Source organism: Homo sapiens, chromosome 7 (genome assembly GCF_000001405.40).
Source record: "Homo sapiens chromosome 7, GRCh38.p14 Primary Assembly".
In the NCBI taxonomy this organism is placed as follows: Eukaryota; Metazoa; Chordata; class Mammalia; order Primates; family Hominidae; genus Homo; species Homo sapiens.
In genome coordinates, this window is record NC_000007.14 from 65,688,360 (window position 1) to 65,708,998 (window position 20,639).

The 20,639-nt window shown below is 41.3% G+C and overlaps 1 long non-coding RNA gene and 1 pseudogene across 2 annotated transcripts in view, besides 1 other annotated feature; one reads left to right on the forward strand and one right to left on the reverse strand.

Annotated features, from left to right (window-relative positions):
* Nucleotides 1-20,639, reverse strand: part of LINC03006 (long intergenic non-protein coding RNA 3006) — a 123,801-nt gene that overhangs the window by 41,350 nt on the left and 61,812 nt on the right. The window lies entirely within an intron of this gene.
* The window catches only part of INTS4P2 (integrator complex subunit 4 pseudogene 2), a 70,835-nt pseudogene that overhangs the window by 40,506 nt on the left and 9,690 nt on the right, over nt 1-20,639 (forward strand). Inside the window, exons 6-10 of the transcript NR_027392.2 lie at nt 949-1,091; nt 3,369-3,484; nt 4,364-4,497; nt 6,649-6,806; nt 17,987-18,067. The product of NR_027392.2 is annotated as an integrator complex subunit 4 pseudogene 2 (transcript). The remainder of the gene's footprint in view (nt 1-948; nt 1,092-3,368; nt 3,485-4,363; nt 4,498-6,648; nt 6,807-17,986; nt 18,068-20,639) is intronic.
* Nucleotides 11,317-11,611: a silencer, noted in NCBI's record as "tiled region #6763; HepG2 Repressive non-DNase unmatched - State 2:TssF". NCBI's record gives its function as "represses a minimal TATA promoter and a strong SV40 promoter by Sharpr-MPRA in HepG2 cells {active_cell/tissue: HepG2}" and the evidence as "EXISTENCE:reporter gene assay evidence [ECO:0000049][PMID:27701403]".

Below are 20,639 nucleotides of genomic sequence, written 5' to 3' on the forward strand. Positions count from 1 at the left end.
GAAGGCTCTAAAACACAAGTGAGCTTTGTTGTGTTTGCAGAATAGAGAGAAAGCCAGTAGGAGTGAACCACAGTGAGAAAGTAGAAATGTGGCATGAAATGAAGTCTGAGAGGGGATTAGGGAGAGGTGGAGAGCCTTGTAGGCCATTTTAAGATGTCTGGATTTTATTCTAACATTATGGAAAACTGTTGCAGAATTTTATGGATAGGAGTGACATTTCGATTTGCCTCTCTTTTAACATTTCTCATTCTTGAAATCTTGAAATTCACTTCAGATAGATCGACTCTTTCCCTCACTCCTCCATTTAGCACATACAGGTATACCTCTCTTTATTGGGCTTTGCAGATATTGTATTTTTTTAATAAATTGAGAGATTGCGGCAACCATGCATTGAGCAAGTCTATCAGTGCCATTTTTCCAATAGCATGTGCTCACTTTATGTCTGTGTCACATTTTGGTAATTCTTGCAATATTTCAAACTTTTTCATTATTACATCTGTTACAGTGATCTGTGATCAGTGATCTTTGATGTTACTGTTGTAATTGCTTTGGGATGCCACAAACTGTGCCTGTATAAGATGGCAAACTTAGTAAGTGTGTGTGTTCTGAGTGTTCTGCTAACTGGCCATTCCCAGCCTCTCTCTTAGCCTTTCTTCTTAGCCTGTCCTTTTTCCTAGTTGCAAAAAGGCTCTTGTACCTTCAGCATCATGATTGAGTCCCAGATAGGATGGAAAAGGAAGGTTAAAGAAGAAAGGGGATAAAGCTACTGCCTCTGGTCCTTTATCAATAAAATGAAAGATATTTCAGGAATTTCATCCAAAAAACTTCCACATACTTTGTTACATGGCCACCCTAGATGGGAAGGTGGCTGGGGAGAAGGGGATGGTAGATAGAGGCTGAGTCTGCTAACCAACAGTAACTACTATTATTATTACTTTTTTTTAAAAGGATTCAGCCAGAGATATTCGAGAGGCTCTTCATGAACTCTTATGCTGTACTAATGTTTCAACCAAAGAAGGGATTCATCTTGCATTGGTGGAGCTGCTGAAAAATTTAACCAAGTACCCTACTGATAGGGACTCCATATGGAAGTAATGACTTTTTTGCCCATTTACTCACTGAGTCGCATAATGTGGTAAATGTACAATGCTGACATTTGTTCCGTCCTTATAGATTGAGGGTGGTACGGCCCTGAATTTTGCCTTTACTTTAGAAACCTGATTGAACTTAACCGCTCTCAGGAATCTGATTCCTAAGCTGAATATCACATTTTAGATTACTTACTAATTTGTGCATCTATCCACCTAGCAAATATTATGTGCCTGCTGTGTGCTGACTACGCACCAACCCTTGTGGTAGCTGTTACAAGTATAGAAATAAATTAATTAGATTTCCTCTTTCTCCTATATAGTGTTTTGTTTTGTTACTTTTTTTTTTTGAGATGGAGTCTCGCTCTGTCACCCTGACTAGAATGCAGTGGCGTGATCTCAGCTCACTGCAACTTCTGCCTCCTGGGTTCAAGCGATTCTCCTGCCTCAGCCTCTCGAGTAACTGGGATTATAGGTGCACGCCACCATACCCAACTAATTTTTGTTTTTTTTTTTAGTAGAGATGGGGTTTTACCATGTTGGTTAGGCTGGTCTTGAACTCCTGACCTCAGGTGATCCACCTGCCCTGGCCTCCCAAAGTGCTGGGATTACAGGCATGAGCCACTGTGCCCGGCCTTATTATTTTTTATTCATTAAGTTCTGGTTTAGAAGGTGCACTTAATTGGCTGGGTGCAGTGGCTCACGCCTATAATCCCGGCACTTTGGGAGGCTGGGGCGGGTGGATCACCTGAGGTCAGGAGTTCAAGACCAGCCTGGCCAACATGGTGAAACCTCATCTCTACTAAAAATGCAAAAATCTGCTGGGCGTAGTGGCACATGCCTGTAATCCCAGCTACTCGGGAGGCAAAGGCAGGAGAATCGCTTGAACCCTGGAAGCAGAGGTTGCAGTGAGCCGAGATTGTGCCACTGCATGCCAGCCTGGGCAACAGAGCAAGACTCAGTCTCAAAAAAAAAAAAAAAAAACCATAAACAATAATAAAAATGTATAATTACCTTGCTTGTATAGTTCCTTATAGTTTATAAAGGGCCCTCAGGTAGTTATAATAGCTAACATTGAGTTCTTACTATGTGACAGACACTTTGCTGAGTACTTTATGTTAGTTATTTAATGCATATAGCAACTCTATGAAGTAATGACTTTTAATCTCATTTTGTAGATGAAAAAATTTACTTGCATAAGGCTACTTAGTTTCAGACAGATCTGTGATTTCAGGACTTCACCCAGGATATCAATTAGAATGTTTTTGCCCACAAATAAAAAAGACAATCTGATTAAAAATATCTTAGCCAATAAGTCTGTTTTTTCATAACGAGGTCAGAAGGTTGGTTTCAGGATTGGTCATTCAACAGGTTACCAGGGCTCTCTTTGGTTTCTCTGCAGTTCTCTTGGCTCTTTTTTTTTTTTTTTTTTTTTTGAGACAGAGTCTCTCTTTATCGCCAGGGTGGAGTGCATTGGCATAATATCGGCTCACTGAACCTCCGCCTCCCAGGTTCAAGCGATTCTCCTGCCTCAGCCTCCCGAGTAGCTGGGACTACAGGCCCGTGCCGCCATGCCCAGCTAATTTTTGTATTTTTAGCAGAGATGGGGTTTCACCATGTTGGCCAGGATGGTCTTGATCTCTTGACCTCCTGATCCAGCCATCTTGGCCTCACAAAGTGTTGGGATTATAGGCGTGAGGCACCGCACCCGGCCGGCTTTCTTCTCATGGTTGTAAGATGGCTGCCTCATAAGATAATATCTCAAGACAGAAAGGAAGGGTCATTCCCTTTCATGCATTGCTCTTTTGATTTGCAAAAACATCCCTGAGAAGCTCCCCAGCCAGCATACTCTCGTGCTCCATTGTCTAGAACTGGCTTACTTGCGTACCAGCAAACCAGTCACTGGAAAATGGGAATGGGGTTGCCATGATGGGTTTAGACCAATAGTGGTTCAGCTCTTGGGCTGGACCTGCCTTTTCCGAGCACTTTGCTGCCTGCCTGATACCTGAGTAAAATCAGGGCTCTCTCAGGAAGAAAGATGGGGGAAATGGCTGTTGGTTAAATAAACAGTTCTTTTATCTTTATAATAACCAGTTTTTTTAGATGAATTAACCAAGTTCCAGAATAACTGGGTGACTTATCTGAAGTCATAGAGTTAGCAAAAGTATATGGTTGAGAATTTCCAATTCCAGTTCAGGTTTTCTGATTCCAGTTCCTAGTACTTTTCAAAGGACTAACTTTACTAATTTGTTGATGTGCATTCTTATTTGTTTGTTTCAGGTGCTTGAAGTTTCTGGGAAGTCGGCATCCAACCCTGGTGCTTCCCTTGGTGCCAGAGCTTCTGAGCACCCACCCATTTTTTGACACAGCTGAACCAGACATGGATGATCCAGCTTGTATCCTCTGTGCTTAGGATGGGCCCTGATGTGTTGGCAGGCAGCTTTGGCATCTCCTTCTGCAGTGTAGCTAGGGTGGTCTGAGTTTTCTTTTCTTTGCTTTTCTTTCCTTTTTTTTTTTTTGAAGACAGAGTCTCATTCTGTCACCCAGGCTGGAGTGCAGTGGCTTGATCTCGGCTCACTGAAACCTCTGCCTCCCGGGTTCAAGCAATTCTCCTGCCTCAGCCTCCTGAGTAGCTGGGATTATAGGCGCCCGCTACCACACCCAGCTAATTTTTGTATTTTTAGTAGAGACGGGTTATCACCATGTTGGCCAGGCTGGTCTCAAATTCCTAACCTGTTGCTTGGGCTGGAGTGCAGTGGCACCACCCCAGCTCACTGCAACCTCCGCCTCCTGGATTCAAATGATTCTCCTGCCTCAGCCTCCCAAGTAGCTGGGATTACAGGTGCCTGCCACCACTCCCGGCTAATTTTTGTATTTTTAGTAGAGACGGGGTTTTACCTTGTTGCCCAGGCTGGTCTCAAACTCCTGACCTCAACTGATCCACCCGCCTCAGCCTCCCAAAGTGTTGGGATTACAGGCGTGAGCCACCATGCCTGGCCAGTATGTACTTTGATAGGCAATATAGTTGCTTACTTTATAGGCAAAATCATTTCCATTTTTTTGTATTCTTGGCAGTCTCTGGCATTTTTAAAAACCTTTGGTAATTGGGGGTGTGGGTGGAGTAGGGGAATGTATTTTGTTGTTTGTATTTGCATTTCTTTGATTATTAGAAAATCATAGTCTCTTGATGGAGATTTTGGAGGTGGAAAGTGAGAGTGCCAGAATCTGGCCAACCTTTTATACTTCCAAGTTTACTTAACCCAGTGATCTATCAGATATTGCAGTTTTGGTACTTATTTTCAATGCTGCTAAAACCTGTCCAACAATGCGAGCATTGTTCTCAGATCACACCGTCAGGCACTATGCCTACCTCCGAGACAGTCTTTCTCATCTTGTTCCTGCCTTGAGGGTATGTTGAAAACATCTGTTGTCCTTGTTTTTATTTTGCATGGGGTAGGGGTATTTGTGTTCATGTTTTCCTTTGAGATGGGGGTCTTGTTATGTTGCCCAGGGCGGTCTCAAACTCCTGGGCTTAAGCCATCCTCCTGGCTCAGCCTCCCAAGTCGCTGTGATTACAGGTGAGCACCATTGTGTGCAGCTTGTTTTTGGCTTTTTATTTTTTGTGCTTTGTGGTTATTAAATAGTAGAAAGCAGTCCATATATTCTCTGAAAACTTGTTTGTTCATTCTCCTTCTCTCTTGGGCTCTTTGCCATTGTTTTATACTTTTGCTTTTGTATCCTTTACCTTTTAAGATGATTCATTTTTTTTGGTGTCCCTGGGTTATTGATATTAGGCAAGAAGAAAGGAACCTGGAACAATAGATTATATTTTAGATCAAGAATTTAAATTGTTATATATTTATTTATTTATTTTTATTATTATTACCTTTTGAGACGAAGTCTCGCTGTGTCGCCCAGGCTGAAGTGCAGTGGCGCGATCTCGGCTCACTGCAAGCTCCGCCTCCCAGGTTCACTCCATTCTCCTGCCTCAGCCTCCCGAGTAGCTGGGACTGCAGGCACCTGCCACCACACCCGGCTAATTTTTTGTATTTTTTAGTAGAGACGGGGTTTCACCGTGTTAGCCAGGATGGTCTTGATCTCCTGACCTCGTGATCTGCCTGCCTCGGCCTCCCAAAGTGCTGGGATTACAGGCATGAGCCACCACACCCAGCCTAAATTGTTATATTTTAACTATTACATATAGCCATGATTCTCCAGAAGTGCTTATTTTTTAAAAATAAAACCTTTACTATTTTTAAAACCTAGAGATATAAAGAAGAAAATTTAAAAATGGATCGTAATAATAATAGCAAACACTTCGTGAATGCTGTGGCCCAGGTACTCTTCCAATCTCTCTATTTGCATTAACTCATCCCTGCTTGGGTGACTCCAAATCACTTTATTTGGAGTAATATACAAAATGAGGCCAGGTGCGGTGGCTCATGCCTGTAATCTAAGCATTTTGGGAGGCTGAGGCGGGTGGATCATCTGAGGACAGGAGTTCACGACCAGCCTGGCCAACGTGGTGAAACCTCATCTCTACTAAAAATACAAAAATTAACTGGGCATGGTGGTGGGCACCTGTAGTCCCAGCTACTCGGGAAGCTGTGGCAAGAGAATTGCTTGAACCCAGGAGGCAGAGGTTGCAATGAGCCAAGGTTGTGCCACTGCACTCCAGCCTGAGCGACAGAGTGAGACTCCATCTCAAAAAAAAAAACAAAAAACAAGTAGATACAAATTGAAAAGTGAAATACTCTTTGCTCTCTCCTCCCCATCCATCTTAAAAGGTAACCACTTTTAACAGTAAGAATATCTGAAGGGCTAGGCCAAAAATAAAAAAAAATTATTCTCATGAAAAAATTGTATGCTATATAAGTTTATTTGGGAATAAATCATTACTCTTCCTTCAAGTGAAAGATAAGATAGTGTTTTAAAGATAAATGTGGCCGGGTGCAGTGGCTCACGCCTGTAATCCCAGCAGTCTGGGTGGCTGAGGCAGGCGGATCACCTGTGGTCAGGAGTTCGAGACCAGCCTGACCAACATGGAGAAACCCTGTCTCTACTAAAAATACAAAATTAGCTGGGTCTGGGGGCGGCCACCTCTAATCCCAGCTACTCAGGAGGCTGAGGCAAGAGAATCGCTTGAACCTGGGAGGTGGAGTTTGCAGTGAGCCGAGATGGTACCATTGCACTCTAGGCAACAAGAGTGAAACTCTGTCTAAAAAAAAAAAAGATGTAGCAACAGTTTAATTTTTAGTCTCCTTCCTATGGTTGGCCCATTTATTTCAGTTAGCAATAGAAAATATTATACCTTTTCTGTTTTTCTCCTGGCAGCTGTGGCTGTATTGGGTAGACCATGTTTGCATTTTGTCTCTTTCTCTTTAACTCCCAATTGTTGCTGAGGAAGGGGAGAAATGTTATTTATAGAATCTCCTAGCCTTTTTTCCCCTTTGTTTTGTTTAGCTCACATTTTTAATGTGCTTTTATGTGTTTGTGTGTGTGTTACCAAAAGCTGAGCCACCAAACTTAATGACTCTATAATCCCACTGTGTTTGCTTAGTTACCAGGTAGAAAACTGGTGTCATCAGCTGTTTCTCCCAGCATCATACCTCAAGAGGATCCTTCGCAGCAGTTCCTGCAGCAGAGCCTTGAAAGAGTGTATAGTCTTCAGCACTTGGACCCTCAGGGAGCCCAGGAGCTGCTGGAATTCACCATCAGGTAGGGTAATCATCCCTTCATCTGACAGAGTTAGTGCCGTTACACTCAGCTTGACTGTTCTGAATTCTGGTGTTGGTTACTAGGCTTGATATTCTGACTCTATTGGTCTACATTCACACACGGTTTTATGGTCTGTTTATATTTGGATTAGATTGTGGTTTGAACATATTTTTTAAAAGAGCTCTTTATATTCATGACTCGATTGATGATTAGTACACAACAAAATAGTTACAAAGAACCTGTTTTTAGTTTTTTAATTTTATATATTAGGATGAGTGACCAAAATGCAAAGTAACAGTGGCTAAAACAGGAGCAAAGTTTAAGTCTTCCTCATAGGCAGGACAGGGCTGAGATGACCATCAAGGATCTAGGCTTGCTCATTCTTTTTTTTTTTTTTTTGAGACAGGGTCTCACCCTGTCACCCAGGCTGGAGTGCAGTGGCATAATATCAGCTCACTGCAACTGCAGCCTCCTGGGCTCAAGTGATTCTCCCACTTCAGCCTCCCAAGTAGCTGGGACCACAGGCATATGCCACCACACCCGGCTAATTTTGGCTTTTTTTTTTTTTTTTTGGTAGAGTCGAGGTTTCACCATGGTGGCCAGGCCGGTCTCAAACTCCTGAGCTCAAGTGATCCTCCCGCCTCGGCCTCCCGAAGTGCTGGAATTACAGGCGTGAGCCACTGTGCCCGGCCTAGGCTCATTCTTTCTTGTGTCTTCATCTTCTGCATCAAGCAGCTCTGCTTAACAATTCAGAATCTAACTGTCCCCCCTGTATTCCATCCTGTGGGGAAAAGGAAACGGGAAGAGAAAGGTATCATCTCCACCCTGTGGTTTGTTTAAAGACACTTCCCAAAAGTTGTACACTCTAATTTTACTTGCATTCCATTGACTAGAACTTAAGTCACATGGCCATCTCTCACTTCAAGGAGCGAGGACATGCAGTCTTTATTCTGGGTGACTAATGCCTGGTTTACATGCGATGACTCTAATACTCAGGAAGAATGGGAGAAAGATATTGGGGAACAACCAAAAGGCTCTGCCAGACCTTCCTCAAAATGGCCTGAATGATATGAAAAGAATTTAAACTCATTTGCTTTTAGCAAAAGCAGTATTGTTTGCTCTTAAAAGATTAAAAAATTATGTCTTTTAAGAGCAAACAGTACTGCTTTTGCTAAAAGCAAATGAGTTTAAATTCTTTATTGTTTGCTCTTAAAAGAGAAAAATATTATATCGTCCAGGTGCAGTGGCTCATGCCTGTAATCCCAGCACTTTGGGAGACCGAGGCGGGAGGATCACTTGAGGCTAGGAGTTCAAGACCAGCCCCGCTGAGTGAAACCCCGTCTCTACTAAAAATAGTAGCCTGTAATCCCAGCTACTTGGGAGATTGAGGCACAAGAGTCGCTTGAACTCGGGAGGCGGAGCTTGCAGTGAGCCAAGATCATGCCACTGCACTCCAGTCTGGGCAACAGAGTGAGACTCCATCTCAAAACAAAAAAGAAAGAAAGAAAAATATTATATTATATCATTTGTATCTTGGTTGAGATCTCTTTTGATCTGCCCGGAAGAGTATTTGGCACCAGCCACATTCAACTAATAATTTTTAGTGGATGATTTCATTCCATACACTAAGAAACAAGCTCTGTGCTAGATACAGATCAGCTAGCTAGGATTCTGCCCTTAGAGAGCCCATGTAGACAAGATGGATATAGACAAAGACTTATGATGGTGGATAACAGCGCTTTGTACTTTGTTCATGCTTTCCTGTCCATTATTGCATCTTAACATGTTATAAAGCCGGCCAACTGAACCATCCTCCAAGTTATGTTTTCCCATTATATTAGGTCATTCATTCACTTAGCAGCATTAACTATTTGTTTATTCTAATAAGCCAGTTGCTGAGGGTAGAGAGAAATAAGAAATGACATTTGTTCTTAAGGTACTCACTGTTTATTACAGGACGCAGAAATCATCAATTTGATAAATGATACAGTGAAGAGAAGCATAGATGCTGTGGAAAAACAGATGAAAGGCCCCGACCCATCACAGTAGTAGTGGTGAGGGATGCTTCACAAAGGAGAAGATCCTTTAGCTAGTATGAAATGATAACTGAGCATGTCAGTTTCGTAGTCCATGTGCAGAAGAGAATTCCAACTTCAGCAGACATTAGAAGAGCTGGGAGACCTGAGGGAGAACAGCCTCCCAGAACTGCAGTGGTGTAGTATAGAGATTGAGTGAATGGAGCTTTGAAGGCAGACTCATTTTGGTTAACGTCTGAGCTAATACAGTCATGCACTGAATAACAACGTTGTGGTGGTCCCATGATTATATTTTTACTGTACCTTTTTTATGTTTAGATATACAGATATTTACCATTGTTTACCATATTTACCAATATTTACCATTGTAACCAGTGTTACAGTTGCCTACAGTCTTTAGTACAGTAACATGCTATACAGATTTGTAGCCTAGGAGCAACAGACTATCCCATATAGCCTAGGTGTGTAGTAGGCTATACCATTTGGATTTGTGTAAATATACTCTATGTGATGTTTGTGAGACAAAATCACATAACAGTGTATGTCTCAGAATGTATCTCCATCGTTAAACAACGCATGACTTGTAGTTGTTTGATCTTAGTCAACTATATTGCTCAGGGTTCATTTGCAGAAAACAAAAGAGGCTTTTAACTAATTTAAGCAGAAAGAAATTTATTACAGAATGTTACATGGCTCACAGAGTTGTTGGGAAAGCTAAAGAAACAGACTAGGTGGAATATCCAGGAATGATTTCCAGAGCCACACAATGAGTGGGCCACCAAGGAGGCTGATGTTCCTGCTATTATCAGGAAAGCTGCCTATTGAGTCAGGATGCTACCAATAAAGCTGCTGGCTCCAGAACCGTGTCTTGCATTCTGCCTTTCTTCCGACTTAACATTGTTCCCTATACAAAACTCATGCGAATGTGTTTGATTGACTGATAATAAATCACGTCTGGAACCTAGCTCAAGGGAATCTGAGAAATGCAGTTTTTAACTTTGCAGCTTATGTAGTCCAGGAAGATACAGTAGATGAAGATAGGAATACCACGTGTGAGTGAGCCAAATCCAGTATATGCCGTAAGTACCAACTGCTGTTAGCTCCAGTTTACTCACCTGGGGGACTTGGTGACTTGCTGGGTGCAGGGGTGGGAGTGAGGAACTGAGAGATAAATGGGTGGTCTGATACTCTAGTAATCCACTAAAAAGTTGAGGGTGTCCTGGGCTCCCCTGGGAGTGCCGTGGGCTTGGGCTGGACAGGTCGTGGGGAGAATGCTGGGTAGGTGGGTGCAGCTGCAGCCACAGGGGAGCCAGAGTGTGCAGCATGTGTCCAGCGTGAGCCTCCCGAGCTTCCACCTGGGTCACATAGTCTTTGTGCCCCTGGGAAGCCTCTAGAAGCCACACAGAGGCCCATAGCAACTCTCATGCCCTGGAGGGTCTCACCAGCCACTCCAGTGATGGGCCCTCCAGTAGCTCTGGGACCCAAGCAGGGATGATTCACAAAGTCCCTACCGAGCACAGGCCTTCACAGTTCAACAAGAAAATCCTACTGTTGACTGGATTTTTAAAAATCAGTGGAGGAGATCACACTAGAAATGATAGATATTGCAAGAAACAAAGCTTGAGGGAAAGCTTGTTACCGTAATGAATGGACTCACACATATCACTGCTTTGCAGTGATAGCATCAGCCAAAAGGGCTGCGAACATGAATCATTAACAAGTTGAAATATGTCAAAGATGGCTGTGTGGTGTGAAGAAGCTGCATTAGCTGCACAGGCTAAGGCTAAATGATATTCTAAATGGCAGAGTGTTCACCTGAATACCATCACTGTAATCAGTAACAATAAAAGATAGGGAAAGCTGAATTATTTTTAAGGTTGAAATGATTTTAGCATGACAGTTTGTTCTCTTGCCACTGTACATTGAATCATATACTTGATGTTTATTGTGTGCCTGTGATGTGCCAGTAACAGTACTCTAAACTAGGAGTCACCAGACTACAGCCTGTGGACCAAAGCTGGCCTGTTGCCTGCTTTTGTATGTAAGATCTGATTGAAGCACAGCCACGCTCATTTGTTTAGGTATTGTCTATAGTTGCTTTCATGCTACAATCACAGAGCTGAGTAGTTGCCACAGAGACCATAAAGTTACTATTTTACCTTTTACAGAAAAAATTTGCTGACCCTGCTGTAAGTTCTGGGCAGTCCACAGCTCTGTAAGCGGAGATTCCAGTCCTTTCTATATCTCTTGTGGAGCGATTTCTCTTCTCCCTCAACAAAGTGTTTAGTTTTGGAGGCCACTGAATGAGGTTGTTGGCCCTGAGCCCAGTAAAATAAAGTCTACTTCCTGACTCATCCCCACGTAAATAAACATTTAGATTTTGTCCTTGACAGTTTTATCCTGTTGGCACTAAAGCAAGTGCAAAAGGCACAAAAGCTAGCCAATTTGGTGATCAGCTGCAGTGCTGGCTCTTAGAAGGTACTCGCCTTCATGGTCTGGGTTTCCTGAGATGATAGTCTTGCTAGGCAGTGGCCGGCCAGATCACTGTCCTAAGTTCGGGGCTCTGTGTTTCTAGCTTGAGTGTGTATTCAGGAGCACAGGCAGGATGGTGAAAAATCTGGAAAGGGAAGCAGATGGACCATAGCAGTGAGGGCACCTGCGATGCTTTACAACCATCATTGCAGACATGAAGTAATTTGCTAAGAAGAGGCAGAACGAGGATTTGAGTTCAGCTTTGTCAACTCTAAAATCCATATTCTGTGATGTGCAGTGATTTACAGGGGGTTCCTGTATCACATGAGATTAGATCAGTTGACCCCTGGGGTTCTCCACAACTTACACTTTCTGAGTTGTTATGGAGTGAAATGTTAGCCTTTCATACAGAAGGTTCTCTGATGAGGACTGGAGCCACGTATTTGTTAGTATGAGTGTAAAACAAATTTCACTGTCATACACAGTGCCCTGTTTTGTAATCCAAACAGCCACTTAACCCAATGAAGATCTCACCTATGAGCCAGATGCTGTGGCTCGCACCTGTAGAACTGTTGTGAAGATGATTGTAATGATATGTGGTAAAAGCATTTTGAGAATATCAGTTACATAGATAATAGTTGGACATTTATGGATGTTTGCTTTAAAATTTAAACTAACTGGCCGGGCGCGGTGGCTCACGCCTGTAATCCCAGCACTTTGGGAGGCCGAGGTGGGCGGATCACGAGCTCAGGAGATGGAGACCATCCTGGCTAACACGATGAAACCCCGTCTCTACTAAAAATACAAAAAATTAGCCAGGCGTGGTGGCGGGCGCCTGTGGTCCCAGCTACTCGGGAGGCTGAGGCAGGAGAATGGTGCGAACCTGGGAGGCAGAGCTTGTGGTGAGCAGAGATCACACCACTGCACTGCAGCCTGGGCGACAGAGCGAGACTCCATCTCAAAAAAAAAAAAAAAAAAATTTAAACTAACTATGGCTTATTTAACATACTGGACATGCTCTTGACATTTTGTAACTAAATCAAATTTTATAAATGTAATCATGTTTAAACTCACTAGCAGGGTTGAAGGGGATTGTCTTTTAAGGAATGCTGCAGTCATTTGTCTGCTATTTCTCAGTATGAATAGTGACCTCCTGTTTTTCAAAGTTTACATTTTTGTGTTAAGTCCATGAAAGTGCTGTTGCTATACACACTGTTGTTTCAGGAACCATATCACCTTAGAAGTGTTCCATAATAGAGAATTGTTCTTTTGGAGTAAAATAGCTCATTATAACCTGAAACAGAAGGGGCTTCATTTATCAGAGATAGAAAGAAATGTACTACTTTTCTTATGGGAATTCTTTTACACACTAACCATTGAAGAACATGGGATTTTTTAGTTGAATTCTTTAAAATCCTCTTTTTGCTTTGAAACTTTTATTGTCTTTTAGGGAGACTGCCTATTGTGTAGTATTGGAACTGGTCTAGTAATTAAAGAGTAGAAATATGCGTTTGTAATCTGTCATCATCTAGGTGCAGGAATAAAGATGGCGTTTTAGAAGTCACCAAGACTTTGTATTTATGTTGTATTTCCTAACATTCCTTTTTGCTCTACTAAGCTACTAAGAGACATAATTATAAATTTGATTTTTAGAGATTCTAAGAGATTGAAAAAAATAAACTGCATTTGATTTGCACATCCAGAATCTTTTTGACTATCTTTAATAGTGATTTAAATAATTAATTCAGCCTATTGTGTAAGCTTAAAAAGAATCACTCTATGTAAATGTGTTTACACATAGTGGCATAGTGGCATCATATAGATTGCTAATGTGTGTGTTCCTGGGAGGAACTGTTTTGCTCTGCCTGATAGCATCTAAAGAAAAGTGGCCCAGTGTATCCAGTTGTTGTTTTCTTTTTTGGAGATGGAGTCTCCCTCTGTCGTTCAGGCTGGAGTGCAGTGGTGCGATCTCGGTTCACGGCAACCTCTGCCTCCCAGGTTCAAGCAATTCTCCTGCCCCAGCATCCCGAATAGCTGGGACTACAGGCGCACTCCACCAGGCCCGGCTAATTTTTGTATTTTAGTAGAGATGGGGTTTCACCGTGTTGCCCAGGCTGGTCTCGAACTCCTGAGCTCAGGCAATCCACCCACCTTGGCCTCCTAAAGTGCTAGGATTACAGGTGTGAGCCACCGCGCCTAGCCGTATCTAGTTTTAAATTAGTTTTGGTCTCATCTGTGTTTGATGTAATTAATAAATAAATGAAAAGAGTTTAATAGCAAATAAATAAATGAGATGCAATATGATATGGTTAAAAAAATACTTTTGGAGTCAGAGCTGACTCTGTCTAGTTCATGTCGTTTTGTTGTTTATTCTGTGACCTTAGGCAAGCCACTTAAATTCTGATCTTTAGTTTCCTGTTCAGTGAAATAGGATTAATTGCAATTCATATTGTGAGGATTAAGTGAGCTCAAGTAAGGAAACAGCTAGCACAGTACAGTGCACATAGAATGTGCTCAGTGTACCTTTCTCATTAGAGCCCGTAGTCTCCTGATGGATGTCTAGACTGAGGCTTCCTAAGAATTGTGAGCATAAAGTGACAAAGAGAGGAAACACTGGGACACAGGATTTTTCCCAGAGCTAACAAGTTTCCATTTTTGTTTGTACAGAAGTTCAGATTTCTTATGGCTAATTGTGTTGGATTGGGTTACATCTTGTTCTGTGCACTTCAGAACAACTGCTACAATTCTGGGGCAGGGGAATAAAATAACATTTGGAATCAGTTAGTTAATGTACAGTCAGTTGGTCTGTATTCTGTATAATTGTCGTAGAAGGCAGAATCTTCCTGGAGAGGAAACACAAATGCTTCTGAAGTAGAATACTTCAGGGCTGTCTCTTGCAAGAGAAAAATCAGAGAAGTGAAAGGAAGAGACCATCTGGCCACCAAACTCATACTTCACAGTTGGGCTTAGCTAGTCTATGGTCTTGGCTTTCATTGTGCTGGGTTCCCATGCTTTGGGTAGGCCCTCCAGGACCAGTTCAAGCAACCCAAATGAATAAGAAGTGATATATATCATACATTAATTCTTCAATCACTTTGAGAGTAATTACTCTTTGCCCCTTTGTAGGCATCTCCTTCTTGATGTCAAAGTCCCCAGGAGGCATCGTTAACTATCATAACGTTACCCACCAAGCATGAGATGGGAGGAAGTGGCATAGTCCAGTGGACAGTTTTTTCCAGGCTACTGTGAAACCTGATGTGTTATGCCGGCTCTGAAACAGCTTCCCAAGTGACTCAGACCTTAAGGTTTCCCACAGTTTCCATTTCTATTCAGAATTTAATGTTGCTATTAAAAAGTAATGAGGCAGCTTTCTATGAATGCTGAGATGGTTAGGTAATACACAAACACACACACACTCACATTCCTCCCCTAAAAAAGAAGAAAGCAAAGAAAACCAGTACTTTTTGTAAATGCATGGCATATCTCAAAATTCAAAAGAAACTGGTAATAGTAGTTGCCTCTGGGAAGGTATACAGGGTGGCAGGGCTACAGGGCACAGGCGTAGGAAGGGGAACTAATTTAATTTAATTTAATTGTATATCCTTTGAATGCTATACCTTAAGTATGTATTAACTATTCAAAAAAACTAAATTTTTTTTTAAAGAACATCTGTTCTTTAAAGTCGTAGAACATTTTCATCACTCCAAGAAGTTCCTTCATGCCCCTTTGCAAAGTTGTTTGGCTTTTCCAAGCCTCTGTGAAACCCCAGGAATTCAAGGAGGCCATGGAGAAGAATCCACTTTTCTATAGTAGCAAAATATGGTGAGGAAAGAGAAGTGATTACTCCTAAAAAGAACATATAATTGTTGGTTATTCAATGACAAGGAGTGACAGTGTAGGTAAGGGGCCCAGAGCCAGAACCCAAGGCAAGTGTGTTTAATAACAGGAAAAAAGCTAAATAACTTTTGGTACAGCTACCTAGCAGTATATTCTGCAGTCATTAATTCTTTATGAAGAATTATACAACAACATGACAAAATACTTAGGGTGTAATGTTATGTACCGAAAAGAAGGGGAGCCAATCATAATCCCAAAAGATAGTCCAGAACATCATAGTCCTAAAGTGTTTAAATTCCAAAAGACTAAAATCCCTAAAGTCTAAAATCCGAAAACCACAGCCCAGAAAATATCAAAATCCCCAAAATATAATTATGGAAGAAATAGTTTTAAAAACTTAAAGATATTTATTTTTTAAAGGGGAACTTATTTGAGAAACATAAAAACACAACAGAATACTTTATACACCACTTAATATAATAAAACAGACAATAATAACATACATTTTTGCAAGCATAAACACTCAGGTTACTAATAACATTTGGGTGGGTCTAACAGTTATGAGCAGATGAGCCATATTTATAAAGAAATTGGTCATAAAGGGAAAGGTATAAATGCATATCACTTTGGTTGTTAATTGTGTATACCCAGCTTTTTAACTCTGGTCATCTGAAATACTGTGCCCAACAACCTCAAGTCTTTTGATGAGATTGATGGAAACTGTGCTGGGTCACCACTGCATATGCAGTCACCCAAAGAGCTGAGATCTCAAGAAATTTTATCTTTCACAAATGCAGATGTACGAAAAGGATATCTCATTTATCGAGGAAGTTTCAACATTTTATGTACACACTCAATGCTTATACACAAAGTCAGTATTGTGATAATGCACTTTCATGGAGTCAGATTTCTGATATCCAAGCAGCAGAACCCAGAGAGTCCGTTTTGCTATTTTGCGTTTTTTTGTTTTTTGTTTTTTTTTGTTTTTTTTTTTTTTTTTGAGACAGAGTCTCAGCTTATCACCCAGGCTGAATACAGTGGCGTGATCTCGGCTCACTGCTGCGACCTCTGCCTCTTGGGTTCAAGCAATTCTCCTGTCTCAGCCTCCCAAGTAGCTGGGATTACAGGTGTGCACCACCACGCCTGGCTAATTTTTGTATTTTTAGCAGAGACAGGGTTTTGCCATGTTGGTCAGGCTGGTCTCGAACTCCTGACCTCAGGTCATCCACCCACCTCGACCTTCCAAAGTGCTAGGATTACAGGCATGAGCCACCGATCCCAGCCCATTTTGTCTTAAGTATTTGTTCTCTCCTGGCCACTGGCTGATTGGATGGTGCCCGCCAACATTGAGGGCAGATAGTCTCCACCTAGTACACTCAGATTTATACACTAATCTCTTCTGGAAACACTCTCATAGACACACCCTCAATGTGTAAAACAAAATAATGTTTTACCAGGTTTCTGATATTCCTTAATCTGGTCAAGCTGATACCTAAAATTAGGTCCACAAGTCCACCCCTTGTCAGCTTGGCACTCATACGCATCTCCTTAAGCCATATTTAATTTCCAAATAAAGACAATAACATGGTAATAGTTGTGCCTAACATGATACAACTGACATGATGCAACTATCCTGCATGCAACCCAAAACACACTAATCACTTCCCCAGAATTTGGATGTCAGGATTTCAACATTTGTGATTGTATGTTTTGGGATTATGATCTAATCCCCAAACTTAATTCTGCTTTCTGACTACAACTGTCAAAAAACATGCATACAAGAAATGATTAGAAGTAAATATTCCAGAAATTCCTATAGTTTATCTGTAGTTTAGACCTACCACTGTTTGATAGCCACCAGATACATGGGACTCTTGAGCACTTGAAAAGTTGTTAGTCTAAACTGAGATGTGTTATTAAGTGCAAAATACACACTGGATTTCTCAGACTTAGTATGAAAAGAAAATGTAAACTATCTAATTAATAATTTAAAAAATACTGCGTGGTGAAATGTTAATATCTTGGATATACTGGGTTAAATAAACTTTTTAAAAAAATTAACTTAGTCTTTGTATCTTCAAAATTAACTTACATCTTTGTAATTTAAAAACTGTGGCTATGAGAATATTTAAAATTATATATAGCTCATGTTATATTTCTATTGGACAGTGTTAGTCTAGGTTTTCTGTAATGTCATTTGATTACATCTGTAATTCAGAAGGACTGAGAAAATAAGAGGCTGTCACAGAAGTTTGTGCAAGAGATGAGGTCATGTGGATGGATAGGTGAGGAGAGAGATGGAAGGTAAAATCGTGGCTCTTAGTGGTGGTTTTGAATGTAGAAGATTGAAAGAGGGAGAAATCTAGGAAAGCTGCTTGATTTCTAGTTGAATATGTTGGTAAAGTGGTTGGGGCTTATAACATAATGAGCATAGGGGAAAAGAAAAAAGAACCACAGTCAAGGAAGAAGTATCTAGGTGGCTTGGGTTAGTCCAGTGGCTCTGGGAACAAGGAGTGCCTAGAGCCCGGAAGCTGGCTTGCCTGCGCATTCTGGTGAAGGTTTCATGGTTCCTGTCCTCTGCTTCCAGAAGCACTGATCTGGGACACAGAGCCTTTGGGCCAAGAATTGGATCAAATGGATGGGAATTCATTTAGCCCAAACCATTAGTCTCATCTTTCTCCATAATAGATACAGCTTATTGGGTTAAAAGAATAAGATTAATTGAGAAGTCCTGTTCATGGTAGACTTTCAAAGGAAAACAAAAATGTAAATTCCAAATGATATGCCAGTCTTTGTGACGTCGGTATTCTGTTCCCTCCTGATTTGTCTGTGTAGGCCTTGCAGGAAAAGTCGTGGAATGTAGCTGCCCCTTCGTATTTGAAGCAGAGTGATTTGGCCTCAGCAGCAGCAAAACAGGTAAGCTTATTCAGACCTTCCCTTCAAACAGGTCTCTGTCCAGGAATTGTCTGGTCCAAGGCAGAGCCAGAGGCCTTCCTATAGCTCTGTCTCTGTAGGCCTTGCAGGAAAAGTTGTGGCATGTAGCTGCCCCTTTGTATTTGAAGCAGAGTGATTTGGCCTCAGCAGCAGCAACACAGGTAAGCTTATTCAGACCTTCCCTTCAAATAGGTCTCTGTCCAGGAATTGTCTGGTCCAAGGCGGAGCCAGAGGCCTTCCTGTAGCTCTGTACCTCTGCTGTGGCCTCCCTAATTTTAGGCTATGACAGAAGTTAGTGATATGAGAAGGAGCATAACTAGGGGACGCAGCACTCACTGTGGACTCAGGGGACCTGGGTCCTAGTCCCAGGTCTTCCTCTGATTTGCTGAGTGATATTGAGCAAGTTACTTAAATTCCCTGGATTTTTTCTCTTCTATAAAATGTGGCAGTTGGGCCGGGTGTGGTGGCTCACACCTGTAATCCCAGCACTTTGGGAGGCTGAGATGGGCGCATCACTTAAGGTTAGGAGTTTGAGACCAGCCTGGCCAACATGGTGAAACGCTGTCGCTACTGTCATGAATCTTTCATCTGAAAATGTAGCCCAACTCAGTTAAGGTTGTTTATATCTTTAGCCTGTACCATCTCTTCAACGTTAAAAGGTCCTGGGTAGTTCATTAAGTAGGCTTTAATTTTATTTGTCTCTAGTTTATTTCTTTTTAGCTTTGAGCCGTTCCCCTTTGCACCTAAGTATTGAGACTTGGTGATCTCTGGCAGGTCAAGTCTTCCAGATAGGGAGTCTGTAAATGACCCAGGAGGAAGCTAATGATGGTGATTGTTATTGTTACATTACAGTTCACTAAATGATTTCAAGTCTATTAGCTTAATTAACCCTCATAACAATCCCATTAGATAGGAATAAGTATTAAGTCTATTTTAGAGATGAGGCAGTTAAGGCTCAGCAAGGTTAAATTCATAGAGCTATAGGTAATACAGTCAGGACTTGAGACCAGATCCTCTGATACCCAGAATCTGTTTTCTACTACAGTGCTGAACTCTTGTCTGATCCAGACTCTTTCTCAGACCTGGTATGTGGCTTATTGTAGAAGAGTAGCATTTAATGACTAGAACCCGATAATTGAGCCACATTGGAAGGATGGGATCAGGGAGCAATAATTTGGAAGGAAAAGAGGAAAGGAATTACCATTGCTGTATACCAGATACTGTGATAAACACATTGCATGCTCCATTTGATACTTGAAACTTCATGATATTGGTACTGTTTCTTCCCTGTTTACAGAAAGGGATTGAGACACTCATGTAATTTAACTTGTCTTATTGCCAATTGTAAGAGAGTCTGGAGTCGTTTCCGTGACCCTAGAGTGTTCACTGGGAGGCAAGCACAGAAGAAAAAGAGAAGCATCATTTTGATGAAAATCGCTTATTTGGATGGAACTAAGCAAGATCGGGGACTTGATCTGGGGTCATAGACAATGTTTTCTTGCACTTATTTCCATCCCAAACTCCCTCAGACCAGGCCCATGGAACAGTCTGTCAGGATAACTAACATATGGTTAATAGTTCCTGATGCTTAATTCTTGAGGACTTTGTGGGGATTGGGTTTCCATACATAATATATATTAATTTGTTCCCACAGCAGAGTGGGCTTCATTTAGGGTAAGAAGCAGTGCTTTCAGTGCTTTGCAGTTTGCTTAGTGATTAAACTTTCTTATCTTCACATCATCAACTAAGATGATTTTATTACCAGGTCAGTCTTCTTTTTAAATAGGCAAAATAATTTATTCTCTTTTTACAAGGCATACTATACTAATTTCTTTCCACACTTAAAAGCATAGGGATGTAAAATCTCAGTTAAGAGTTTCACCTAAGGTCATTTAACAGTAGAATTCTATGCTGCTCTCAAGTAAGACTATGATATTTTTATTGATTGTTAATTATCTTTTCTTTATCGATTATGGAAGAGACCTACAAAATGGAATTCATGTAGAGTGGTGTGGAGAATAAGCAGGTGGTGATTATACATCACATGAGGCTGCAGGCCAAAGCTTTGCAACTTATAATAACAGCACGAACTACATGAGGGTAAGATGTGGGGTTGGCCAAAATATGTGGCATGTTCCTTTCAAAGATACTTCAAATGCATTCAGACATCACACGAAAGTTAATGATAAGTAAAATGAAATTTAGGATAGACTAGCTAAGGAATGTGTGATCTATTCATTTTTTTCAGATATTACAAATTCTGTTGTTGGATCAGATTAGACCCTTGGAAATCCAACTGTGCGTCTCCCTTGCTAAAAACCCTCTGGTGACTCTCCATTACATATAGCACAACACTGGACTTTATCTGGCAATAAGGACATTCTGTATCCTCCTACTTGATAGATTTCCTCAAGAGTTTAGTGCCAGGGACCACTTTTTCTGTTCTGAAGGGACTAATAAGCTTTTTCTCAGGCAATAAGGATAAATTAAGAGGATGTACTGGGAAGTCAGACTACTTTGTTCAAATCTTGTCTTTTCTACTTACTAGTTGTTT